Source organism: Homo sapiens, chromosome 6 (assembly GCF_000001405.40).
Source record: "Homo sapiens chromosome 6, GRCh38.p14 Primary Assembly".
Lineage (NCBI taxonomy): Eukaryota > Metazoa > Chordata > Mammalia > Primates > Hominidae > Homo > Homo sapiens.
This window is the reverse complement of record NC_000006.12, coordinates 33656320-33668163: the sequence shown is the minus strand read 5'-3', so window position 1 is coordinate 33668163 and position 11844 is coordinate 33656320. Positions and strand designations below refer to the sequence as shown.

General features: G+C 56.4%; 1 protein-coding gene across 7 annotated transcripts in view, besides 3 other annotated features; it reads right to left on the bottom strand.

The window, feature by feature from the left end:
* ITPR3 (inositol 1,4,5-trisphosphate receptor type 3) overlaps positions 1 to 11844 on the bottom strand; it is a 75241-nt gene that overhangs the window by 28399 nt on the left and 34998 nt on the right. For all 7 annotated transcript variants that reach the window (NM_002224.4, XM_047418731.1, XM_017010832.2 and 4 more), the window contains 13 exons: positions 10146 to 10232; positions 9336 to 9494; positions 9045 to 9143; positions 8615 to 8698; positions 5490 to 5636; positions 5158 to 5253; positions 4614 to 4664; positions 4284 to 4426; positions 3195 to 3294; positions 2951 to 3111; positions 2188 to 2329; positions 874 to 1035; positions 200 to 372 (listed from right to left, as the gene is read on the bottom strand). In NM_002224.4, coding sequence (NP_002215.2) covers positions 200 to 372; positions 874 to 1035; positions 2188 to 2329; positions 2951 to 3111; positions 3195 to 3294; positions 4284 to 4426; positions 4614 to 4664; positions 5158 to 5253; positions 5490 to 5636; positions 8615 to 8698; positions 9045 to 9143; positions 9336 to 9494; positions 10146 to 10232 — 1604 coding nt within the window. The remainder of the gene's footprint in view (positions 1 to 199; positions 373 to 873; positions 1036 to 2187; positions 2330 to 2950; positions 3112 to 3194; positions 3295 to 4283; positions 4427 to 4613; positions 4665 to 5157; positions 5254 to 5489; positions 5637 to 8614; positions 8699 to 9044; positions 9144 to 9335; positions 9495 to 10145; positions 10233 to 11844) is intronic.
* Positions 8525 to 9035: an enhancer, noted in NCBI's record as "H3K4me1 hESC enhancer chr6:33626906-33627416 (GRCh37/hg19 assembly coordinates)". NCBI's record gives its function as "activates a minimal SCP1, AML or CMV promoter by ChIP-STARR-seq in primed H9 embryonic stem cells {active_cell/tissue: H9 hESC(primed)}" and the evidence as "EXISTENCE:reporter gene assay evidence [ECO:0000049][PMID:30033119]".
* Positions 9676 to 10210: an enhancer, noted in NCBI's record as "H3K27ac-H3K4me1 hESC enhancer chr6:33625731-33626265 (GRCh37/hg19 assembly coordinates)". NCBI's record gives its function as "activates a minimal SCP1, AML or CMV promoter by ChIP-STARR-seq in primed H9 embryonic stem cells {active_cell/tissue: H9 hESC(primed)}" and the evidence as "EXISTENCE:reporter gene assay evidence [ECO:0000049][PMID:30033119]".
* Positions 11283 to 11819: an enhancer, noted in NCBI's record as "H3K27ac-H3K4me1 hESC enhancer chr6:33624122-33624658 (GRCh37/hg19 assembly coordinates)". NCBI's record gives its function as "activates a minimal SCP1, AML or CMV promoter by ChIP-STARR-seq in primed H9 embryonic stem cells {active_cell/tissue: H9 hESC(primed)}" and the evidence as "EXISTENCE:reporter gene assay evidence [ECO:0000049][PMID:30033119]".

Below are 11844 nucleotides of genomic sequence, written 5' to 3'. Positions count from 1 at the left end.
TGCCAGAGTGGGCCAAATTTTAGGGGATCCCAGAGAAGGGCTAGGGAGGCTAGGGCCTCCCAGTGCTGAGCCACCCAGTGCTATTCAGGGTGGCAGTTACCAACAGGTGCAGGAATAGTTCACACAACCAGCAGAGTTTCTACCCAGGCAAGGGAGGAGGGAGGAGCAGGCGCCGGCCGGGGAGGGGGTTCGGGCCCACCTGGGCTCCCGGTTCTTGCGCACAAGGCTGACGAAGGTCTCCACCTCGGTCTTGGTGATGTGCTTTTCCAGGAGCTTGCGGTTGTTGTGCAGCAGGGCAGTGATGGTGTCCTCGGCCAGGATGTCGTAGCCAATCTGGGACTGCATCATCCCAAACTGCTTGGCAATGTGCTCCTGGGGGGGCAGACAGGCTGGGGGTCACAGAGAGTCACAGGTGGGCCAAGGGCCCAGCTCTGCTCTGGAACGCTGCCCCCAAACCCCGAGGTAAGGACCCAATACCCTAGAAAGGCAGAGGTCCAGGAAAGGAAGCATCGCTGGGCAGAAGAGTGGCTTACATTACATAGTTATTTAGCTTGTGGGCTGTTTCCCACCAGAGCGAAACCTCCACGAGGGCAGGGACCTTGTTTGTGTGGAAGGATTGGCTACATAACTTGTAGGGCCCAGTGCAGAATGAAAGAGCAGGACCCTTGCTCAGCAGCAGAGCATCTAACCCAGTGCAAGGCCCTTGTGAGCACCGGGCCAGGTCCCATTCCCATGAACCCGGCCCTGCTGTCTGGTGCCCTACTGGACCCTAGGCCCCAAAACAGTGCCTGGCACAGCACATGTGCCTGAGGAAATCGCTTGCTGAGGAAGGAACGTGCAGCCAGCGAGTGGGCCAGCAGGGCAGCGGCGCACCTGGTTCTTGCGGTAGTCCTCCTGGGAATGCCGCAACACGCGGTAGCACAGGCGGAACATGTGCTGGTAGGGGGCGTTCTTCTGGTCTGACAGCTCCTCCAGCCGCACCAGGGGACCTTCACCCCCCTTCTCACGGAACGGGGCCTTCAGAATGCCAAAGACCTGGGGGAATACAGAGGGTGAGGACTGATTCCCCAACACCTGTCTGTACCCCTAAGTCATCCCAGGAGTCATCCCTGAGTCCCAACTGACTCTGCCCTAAAGCCAGCCCGGACATCAGCTTCGAGCTGATTCTAAGCTGGACCACAACCCCAGCCCAGCCATCCTCAGCCCCAGCTCTCCCTACTCCTTGTTGGAATCCCGAAGCTGACCCCAGCCTATCCCTCCCTGATGCGGATTCTAATCCCAGCTCAGATCTGGGGCCTGGGGGAGGAGCAGAGGGTCTCGGCAGCTCAGGGTCTAAGGCTAAGAGAAAAGGCAGGCCGGACCGCTGTGGCCAGAGCTTAAGAGATGAGACACAGGCCTGCCTTGTCAAAGTAAAATGTTACATAATTACAAAAATGTTTTAAAGGCTGGGGCTGGGTGGAGAGGTGAAAAATTGTTCTGAAACAGAGACCAAAGTGACAGAGCAACAGAATGGAATGAAAAAACCTTAATTGGATCCTCGTTTCTAAAAAAAAAAAAACAAACTTTACAAAGACATTCTGGGAACATTAGAGAAATGTGATATGGACTTGGTATTGTTGTAATTTTCTTAGGTGTGATCATGTACTATGGTTATGTAAGGCAATGTCCCTATTGTTAGGGATGCCTGCTGAAACTTTTGGGTGTAAAATGCTGCCTATTTTGCAATGTGTGGATGGAAAGACGGATGTGTGAACCGAGCTACATAAAGCCAAGGCAGCAAAACAGTGAGGCACCTTGTTCCCTGTACTATTCTTCCAATACTTTCTCAATATTTGATGATTCTCATAATAAAAAAATTTTTAAAAAAATTTTTTGAAGCACAGCTCTGGACCCAACATCACAAGCTCAAATCCTGGCTGCCGCTTCCTAGCTGTGAGCCCTGGGACAGCGACTCTGGCCTGTGTTTCAGCTTCCTCACCAGTAAAACGGGGTAAGAATCACGGCGCCTCCTCCAGGCAGTGAGGATCAAATTCGTCAACACATGTGGGGTACTTAGGGAAGTCCCTGGCACGTGGTCGTGCCCCATATATACTGATTTTTGTTAAAGCGGGGGATGAGCCTGCAGTTGAAGGCATCCCTCTCCCGGGCACCCGGCCCCTCTGCGTCCCCTCATGGGTGCACACGCACCTGTTTGAGGATGTTCTGCTCCCTCATCAGCTTCTGCCGTTCCCGGTTGGGCTTAGTGACCATGATGTCCAGGACATTCTGCCCATTGTTGGGGACATCGCTGACAAAGAACACCAGGTCTTCCAGCAGCTGGATGACAAACCTGGGTGAGGGGACCCGGGGATGACGAGTGTGAGATACCCACCCAGCAGGTGTCCCTCTTGGGGAGCCAGTCCCTCCCAAAACATGGCTTTCATGAGTTCACTCAGCGGCCCCCAAAGCACAAAACCCATCCTCAGCCTACAATTCCTCTTCCCGGCTTTCCCCTGAAATGCTCTCCAAACACGCCCAGCCCCACCCACCCTGGATTCCAAAGTGGCCCCAAGACACAGAATCTCAGAATATCCCAACCTGGAAAGGAAGTACAGGGCACAAGGCGGGGAGTCTGGTGTGAAGGGGGCTGCATTTGCATCCTGACTCTGCCACTTACTAACTGTGACCCCGAGCAAGTCTCGTAACCTCTCTGAGCCTCAGACCCATCATAACTGGCCTTGAGACCAGGCTCAACACAGTAACCAGCTCCATCATAGGGTTAGTTCTGGGAGTACCTAAGCCGTGAGGCACCCAACTCCAGGGTCCCAGGCTCAGCCAGGGCCCCACAGGGGCCAGTCCCCTACTCTCTCCCCAGTTTGCCCAGCTTCTGCTTCATGACTCCTTTCTTCATGAAATGCAGGCCCTGGGAGGGCAAGATCACTCAGAAAACCCCTGTGCCACTGCAGCCCACCTGCGGTCATTCTGGCTGATGAAGCCCTCGTTGAGTTTCTCCACGGCACTGGCCAGCATGGAGCTGGCGTCATTGGCAAAGTCCAGGTCTCGGATCTCAGACACGGGCACTGACACGATGGCAAAGGCCTCCTTGTCCTCCTTGGTGGGGCAGGTGCCCAGCTGCAGAGACAGGGGTCAGCAGGGCACCTGGGAACAAGCTCCGGCCCTGGCCCCAGCCCCACCCCCACCCCAGGGACACGCACCATGAGCCGGATGGGCCGCTCCTCCTCGATGTCAATGGGCACATTGGTGCTCTGAATCCACGTGTTGGTGCAGAGGTGCCGCAGCCGGACGTACGAGTTCCTGCAGGTGGGTGGGAGGGAAAGGACTCGGGGAGTGCACCACAGAGCACGTCATGCTGCCTGCCGGCCTACCTCCCCAACACTGCCACAGCTGCCACCCTACTCCACACCCTCAACAGCTGTGGGACAGGAGCCACTGGTGCCCCTCCAGATGAGGAGGCTGAAGCCAGATAAGAACAGCCAGAGCTAGCCCTGCGCCCAGGCCCCGTCCTGACCACTGCACTGACACGGGCAGCCTTGTCCACGCTTCCAAAACCAAAGCTTGTTTGTACACTTGGGACCAAAATTCATTTGGACAAATGAGGCTATTTAACTATTTATCCCATTGAATGTCAAGATGCACACATTTCATAGAAACACATGCATTACACAAAAATACTCAATGTCTATGATTACAAAATGCAAGTTTACCTTTCTAAAATGAAAAACAATCTGAATACCAAATCCATCTACCCCCAAGAGTTTCAGGGAAGGGACTGTGGGCCTATGTAGTGACTCAATTAACTCTCCCATTAGCCCTGTTGACAGGGAAACTTGATGTTCCCACTAAAATGATGGAGGCAGAGTGAGTAGCAGCCTGAGGTCATACAGCTAAGGACACGCCAAAGCCTGTACTGACACTTGAGAAGTTTCTTGATGTTCCGTCCTAGAATCTCGGGGTTGGCGGGACCTCAAAGGCCAGAGAGTCTGGCCTTCCCATCCAGTGTTTGGGTTCCCTGTGCTGCTGGTGTCCTAGACAAACTGCCATGCAGCCTGTGCTTGAGCACCCAGACCAACTGGGGCAGGCGCCAGGCACCAGGCAGGCATGCAATGGTGGTCAGCCGCCGACAGACTCAGAGCTAGATCCCCAGAGGGATGGGACCTACAGAGACCCCAGAGGCTAAAGGACCGCAGGAGGGCGGAGGAGTGGGGGATCCAGAGAGTCCCAGAGACAGGAGGGCCCACCCTGAGCACCACCAGTCAACTCCCAGGCACATGGCGCATACCCACCGGGGCACGAAAGAGTCGGTTTTCTGCAAGGTGGTGGGGTCCAGCTCAAAGAGAGAGGCGATGTCATTGCCATGAGGCACAGCCACCAGGCAGTACTTGATCTTCTCCCCAGCATTCCTGCGGCCTGTGCGGCCCTGTGCCCCCTGGATGAGGACCCCAAATCAGGTAGAAGGCCCTCCCTCTTCTCAAGCCCATGAAGCACCTGGGATCCCACCTGAGATCCCATCTGTCTCCCTCCAGCCCACCTCCCAGGTTTTCACGGCCTCCCCTGCCCCCGCCTACCCCCAGGGCAGGCCCATGGTCTCACTGGAGACCTGCTTTGCTCCTCACCATTCCTGCTGCCTTGGGATCTGAGGCATCACCTTTGTAACTGGGGTTCTCCTGGACAGAGATACAAGATGTGGGGGAGCTACTGGACACCAAACTATACCCACACGACCCACTGCAAAACATGGTCACCTACATAGGGCCCTGGGTTTGGGCAGGCAGGCTGCACCCTCCCAGGGGTGCCCATATCATTCCAGGGGAGCCCTTCATGGCCCCTCTCCATAGAACCACAAATGAACATACACACATACACACCAATGCTCCAACACACACAAGTGTGCGCATTACAGACAGACGGGAAATTTTGCTCACTTTGTATCCCCTGTGCCTAGAATAGTGCCTGGCACATAGTAGGAGCACAGTGATATTTATTAGGCTTATTTACAGTCATGCCTTTATTTGATAATATTGGATAAATGCATGAGTGCAGAGAAGTCAGGGTCCATAGGCACATGTGCCACATATGCAAGTATGTGCACACATGTTCCCGCACACCCACGTGTACATGCACACACGAGCCCCAGCATGCCCTCTACCTCCCGCTCACCTCAGCAGCCAGGTAGTTGCCTGTAGCCAGGTGCTTGAAGCGGTACAAGCCATTCCAGTGCCCAGCTCCTCCACGGCAGGGGTCGTGGTGGACCACCTAGGGGCACACAGGTGTGAGGCAGGAAGGAGAGACTGGACAGGCATGGGGAGTCAGACCCCAGGGAGGCCTGGAGATCTCTGGGTGGGTGGGTTCTGGACCCTCTCTGGCCTTTTGACTCTGGAGGGACTCAGAGGGAGGTAGGGGTCAATATCCCACCCTCCAGGATGGTGGGGAAGAGGGAGGGGTGGCATCCAAGGCTGAGTCCGGGGTGCCAGAAGCAGGGCTTTTCTGACCTCCACCTCCCAGAGAGCATTGGAGCTGGTGGCCGAGGTGGCAGACTGGCGCAGTGTAGTTCGCAGGAACACCTGCAGCTTGCCCTTGTACTCGTCACACGTCAGGAACTTCTCCTGCTCCGCATGGAACAGCCGCACCACGTCTCCCTGCAGGCAGCAGGGTGTGGCTCAGGATGGCTGCGGCCCCTCCAGGCTCAAGGACCCACCCAGGGCCCAGCCCCACCTGCCTCAGACAGGGTTGGCTGCTGGCAGGGCCCCTCTTCCAGAGCCAGCACACAGAGAGGGGGATGCAAGCTGAGCCCCCTAGAGAACAGCCAAAGCCCAGGCACTCTGCCCTCAGCCCGCATCCCAGACCCCAAATCCAGAGCTCTCCCAGGCCTTCCCATGTTCAAACCCACCCTGGACCACCTCTCTCCCTATGTGTACCTCTAGACACCCTGCCTAACCTCTAACGGCCCATCTCCAGTCACCCCCTCCATGAAGGAGGGGGACCTTACCCCCTCAGTGTCCCCGGGGCCATGGCTGCCCCTCTCTCAGGGTCCTTTCTGCCTAAATATTGGTAGCTCATGCCCACTTCTTTTGCTCCCCTGTTGGATGGGGGCAGCATGGAGGGCATCTCCATAGCTTTGGACAGAGATACCACGTTTGGATCCTGTCTTTTTTTTTTTTTTTTTTTTTTTTTCAGAGACAGTCACTCTGTTGCCCAGGATGGAGTGCATGGCACGATCTTGGCTCACTGCAACCTTCGCCTCCTGGGTTCAAGTGATTCTCATGCCTCTGCCTCCTGTGTAGCTGGGACCACAGGTGCCTGCCACCACGCCCGGCTAATTTATTTTATTTTTAGTAGAGACGGGGTTTCACCATGTTGCCCAGACTGGCCTCAAACTCCTAAGCTCAGGCAATTCACCCACCTCAGCTTCCCAAAGTGCTAGGATTACAGGCATAAGCCACTGTGCCCGGCCTCTGTCTCTGCTCTTAAAAGCTGTGTGACCTCAGATAAGTTCCTTAACATGTCTGAGCCTCAGTTGCCTCTTCTGTAAAATGGGAATACAATGACCTCCTTGCAGAAATTGTGAGGATTATAATATGCGTGATGAAGTCACACTGCACACTTACCGCGTGCCAGCCACTGTGCAAGCACTTGAAAGCTTTCTCACCTGATCCTCACATCAACCCTCTGGGTAAATACATCATTAGCCCCATTTTATGGGTGGAGAAACTCAGGCATAGAGAAGGTAAGTATCCTGCCGAGGGTCATGCAACTAATGGCAAATGGGACATGAATCTTTGGCCCAGTTCCAGGGCCTGCACCTTAATCATTCCATCACCTTCCTCCCGCTGAGCCTGCCGCCCAGCAGGCACACAATGCATGGCTGCCACTCTTGCTATCATCACTAATGGCACTTTCTGTCTTCCCTCCACTGAACACACACTAGACACAAAGCATTCAGTGAACACCTGCAGAGTGAATGCAGCAGTGAATGCAAGAATGCATGAATGAATGACGATATAAAGATTGGGTCAGTTACTATGGCAGAACCTAGTGACTTCTGTGCCCCAGTAGCGCAGGGCAGGGGCAAAAAAGCAGTGGACTTAGCACCAGAAAGCCTTGCTTCTGAGCTGCCTTGGAACCACGGAGCCATGACGGATTCCCCAGAAATAATTCTATGTAGACCACAGAGTGAGGCCCAAGTGATGCTTCATTTTATTTATTTGTTTGTTTGTTTGCTTGTTTGTTTTTTTTGAGAAGGAGTCTCGCTCTGTCACCCAGGCTGGAGTGCAGTGTGGTGCAATCTTGGCTTACTGCAACCTCCACCTCCCAGGCTCAAGCGATTCTCCTGCCTCAGCCTCCTGAGTAGCTGGGACTACAGGTGCCCACTGCCACGCCTGGCTAATTTTTGTATTTTTAGTAGAGAAGGGCTTTCTCCACGTTGGCCAGGCTGGTCTTGAGCTCCTGACCTCAAGTGATCCACCCGCTTCGGCCTCCCAAAGTGCTGGGATTACAGGCATGAGCCACCCCGCCCGGCCAAGATGCTTCATTTCCTAAGTGCTGCACAGATTCGGGGCTGGAACATTAGGGAAGGCTTCCAGGAGGGGTAGTGCATGGCTGCACCTTGATTAATGTGTGGATGATGTGCAGATTTAAGGGAGGGAGGGAGGGAGAAGGCATTGGGGCAGGGCATGGGTAGACGGGAAGCAGCCCAGGAGGTAAGAAGGATGAGGAGGGTGGGGGACTGAGGCAGCCTGAGCAGGGCAGGAGAGTCTAACAGAGCAGCTCAGCGTGGGGAGGAGGGCAAAGGGAGCCATTGCAGCTTCCGAGCAGGGAGGAGCACCTAAGACTCCTTAGGTGGCTGCTCTCGGGCCTGTCACCTGTCCCTCTAACAGGTTTCACAGCTGATGTTCCTGCCTGCTCCCCTAGCTGGACAGCCTCACACTCTACAGATCTGCCCTCCCTCAAGACCGTCTACACCCCGTCTGCTGGTTCCATCCCTTGCAGCCCCACCCAAGAGACATCTGAACTCTCCTCTCTCGCCCACATCTGCTGTTCAGGGTTTCTTGAATGGTCTCTCTGGTGGCCCCAGACAGCTCCCTCTGCCCTCAGTCCTGGATCCTCCCGAAGTCTTCACTGCAGTATTTCCCAGGCCTCCCTTCTCTCCCAGAGCCCACACCAGCATGTCTGGGACCAGGAAGGAGACAGGCGGTGACCCCTAACTCAGCAGACAGGGCAGCCTCACTCGCTTGCCAATGAGGGCACAGGGCAAGGGGCGGGGGCCTGGTGTGGATCCAGGCAGCAGGAGTTGGGGAGAGGAAGGTGCTCAAAGGCTCTGGGTGGTGGGGGGATGGAGACCCCCAGTCCACTGACACCCCCTTAAACAAGGGAGAAAACAAAGACCAGGCAGGACCCAGGGAGAATGGAGAAGGGAGCTGTGGCCAGAGACGAGAGAAGCGGCAGCCCTGGTAGGGCCATGTGGGTGGGGCCCTGTGGAGGTGGAGGGAGGCTGGGGGGTGCAAAGCTGGGGAGAGGGTAAGGGCCTGAGGCCTGGCGGGTGGAGAAGGCAGGAAGAGGGCCCTGGTGGGGAGGGCTAGGTGGCCAGCTGGGCAGGGCAGGGGTTCCCAGTCCTTACCCCTTTCAACACCTCCTCCAGGTGGTCCCGAAACTGCATAAACAGGTTGATCTTCCAGCTGGTGTTGCAGTTCACAGAATTGACCTGCGGAAGGGTGACAAGACCCGTGACGCCAGGTGGACCCCAGCCACTGAGGGCCCAGAGCAGGGCTGAAGGGAAGAAGCAGCCCAGCCACCATTACAGCACAAGGACAGGGTGTCTTCTCCTAGCCAGGGTCCCCAGACCCCAGCCCGGCTACCTTGGGGCCACCAGCCTGTGGGGTGGAGAATGAGGGCAGTGTTGGGAAATGGATGCAGAAGCCGTGAGGCCCAGCTTGTCCGGCAGGTCAGATGGGGCTGGAGGCAGAGACCATGGCAGGGAGCGGGGTGTCTACACCACCAGGGGTGTGTGGACGTCCCTGCACTGCATGGCTGACCCCCCACCCCCTCACCTCCTTGCAGCCGGCGTTGTCGCTGAGCTCGTAATTGCTGGCATGCAGAGGCTGCCCGGCATTGACAGGATTCAGGATCACCTTGTCCCCCACGACCACCTGAGCAGACAGGTGGGACAGGTTAGGTGGGAAGGGCAGGGCCCTCTTGTCACCACGCCTCCAGGCCTCCCTTTGGTCTCAGTCTGCCCTTCTAAGAAATGGGCATGCCCTTATCCAGTCCCCACACCGAAGACCCTACAGAAGCCCCTCGGGAGTTCCACCAGGCCCCTCCAACCCTGGCCCTGCCCTCACGTTGTCCCCGTTGCTCCGCAGCTTCCAGAAGGGCTGGATGAAGAGCCAGGAACCCTCGTTGCCTGTGGCATCCAGAGTCACCCGCATGGCGTTCTTCTCCAGCAAGGCCGGAAGCCGCTTGTTCACTGTCAGGTACTTGTTGCTCTTCATGTGCAGGAGCTGGGGGTCAGGTGGGGTGCGGGAAGGTCACCGCGCCACAGGAGTCGGCCCATTAGGGAGGGGATATGGGGGGATCCCCTAGACCCTTGGTCACATTCTGGCTGCACACATAGTGTCAGACACCTGTCACAAACATACAGGCTGACACCCACATTCACAACCACAATCACACACAAACGTGCACACAACAGGCACACCCCCATGGACACCCTGGTGATCACAAGAAAGAGGCTGTTCTAAATACTTTACATAGATTAGCTCAAGTAACCTACAACGATCCAAGAGGGAAGTACTATTACTGCCTGATTTCACAGATGGGGAAACCAAGGCGCCAGGGGACGTTAGGTAACTTGCCCAAGTTACACCATTAGGAGTGGCAGAGCCAAGATTTGAATCCAGACAACGTGGCTCCAGACTCCATGCTGATGGCCACCATGCTGTAAACACACCCATGGCACAGCTACTCAGGCCACACAGCAACAGACACACACACAGTCAGACGCACAGCCACACAGGTGGCCCCAGGGCCACTCATTCACCCGGGGACACACATGCACAGAGGGCAATGCCTGCTGGCAGCCCTCACCCAGCACCAGCCCAGCCTCTTAGGCAGGGAGAGGGGCAGGCGGGAGAGAGGCAGGCCAGCCTCACCTGGATCACACTGCCATACTTCACGACATCCCCATGCACCTTCTTGTTCTCCGTGTCATTTTGCTTCTGCTCCATCTGCGCCGCATGCTGCACAGACACACACAGAAGTGAAGGGTGGGCTCAGAAGCTGCTCCTAGAGGAAGACATACCCCAGCCCCACACATGCACGCACACATGCACACAAACACACACACACACACACAGTCACCCTGGACTCCAGGACCCCTTGGACCCCTGCCCCAGCTCTTGGTGCTGCACCCAGAGTGCTGCACTCTGAGTGCAGAAGGCAGCCTGAGGTCTCACAGCACACACAGCCCAGGGAGCCAAATCCCTAACCCTCCCCAGCCACCTCCCCTGGAGAGGGCATGCCAGCAGGACCTTGAGCATCCCCCGCAATCCCCTTACCCCCCCAGGAACCTAAAGCTGTGTGTGTCTCACCACCCACCCCCACCTCACCAGACTCCCAATGCCCCAGACACGGGACCCTTGTCCCAGTCCAAACGCTGGCAGGGGCTGCTTGGTGCCATTTCCTGGCTCCCACCACCACCCCCACTCCTCTGCAACCTTCCCTCCCAAAACTGTGTGCATTCAGCCCACTGCCTCCAGGCAGCCCTCCCTGAGTGGTCACATCCCAGTCTGATGGATCCACTGCTGGTGGCCTTGAGGATTTGGTTTGCATCCCATTAGAGACAGCTTTTTAGGCTCTTCTGTCCTCTGTTAGACTGGAAGCTGCCTAAGGATAGGTGCCCTGCCTCCTTACCAGATTAGGGGTTCCTGGAGGGCAGGAGCCCTGTCCCCTCCATCAGACTGGCACTCTCTGAGAGCAGTGGTCTCTGTCCTTTCCTCCTCCTCAGTCCTTTACTGAGACCGAGGCGAAGGTGGCAGCAGGAGAGCCTTGCCATGGACCATGTGACTTTCCACAAAGCAACAGCATGTGGCTGTGTGACCGCTTGCGGTTCTGATTATGTGGCTCTGCATAGGTGAATGCCCTCCCCCCAGGCCAGATCCCCAGCTCAGCCTCTACCTGCTGGCAGCAGGAAGGAAGCCTGTTGCAGCCCCCATTCCAGGAAGAGAGCTGAGGTATTAATACTAGAGCTCAGGCAGCCCACCTGCAGCTCCCTCTCTCCAGCCCAGTCCACAGCTATAAGGCGCAGCCCAATGTCCCCATTCTAGACCCACCTCCTCTAGGCGTGGGGCTTAGAGGAAGGGGACAGAGAGAAGCAAGGTTTGTATGACAAGGGGTGGGGCAACAGGGCCCAGGGCCCAGGCTACAAAGTTCTTGACCACAGCCAAAGCCTCCCACTCTCTTTGTGGTTTGGGGAACGGGGTTGGGACCCCGAGATCTGCCCAGGATGTGAACTGAGCCACTGCCCACAAGGGGCTCATGAGCGACCACCACATTCCAGCATCATGGCACGATCCACATGTCTGAGGAAGCCAGGGTGAGTCAGAGACCTGGGGGCCATCTAGGCTCTACTGCAGACTTACAGGATGGTCAGACCATGGACAGACCAGTCCCATCTAAGGGCCCCAGGCTCCAACTCTATAAAACAAGGGGAGAGGTTAAGACTAGATCCAGGGCTCCCAAATTGGGTTCCCCAGAGCCACTGTCTCCAGGAGCCACTGGGAACTCCATGGACAGCTGTACAGGTTGTTCACTGCTCTATGGTGTCGACATTCCACTCTCTGAGCCATGCAC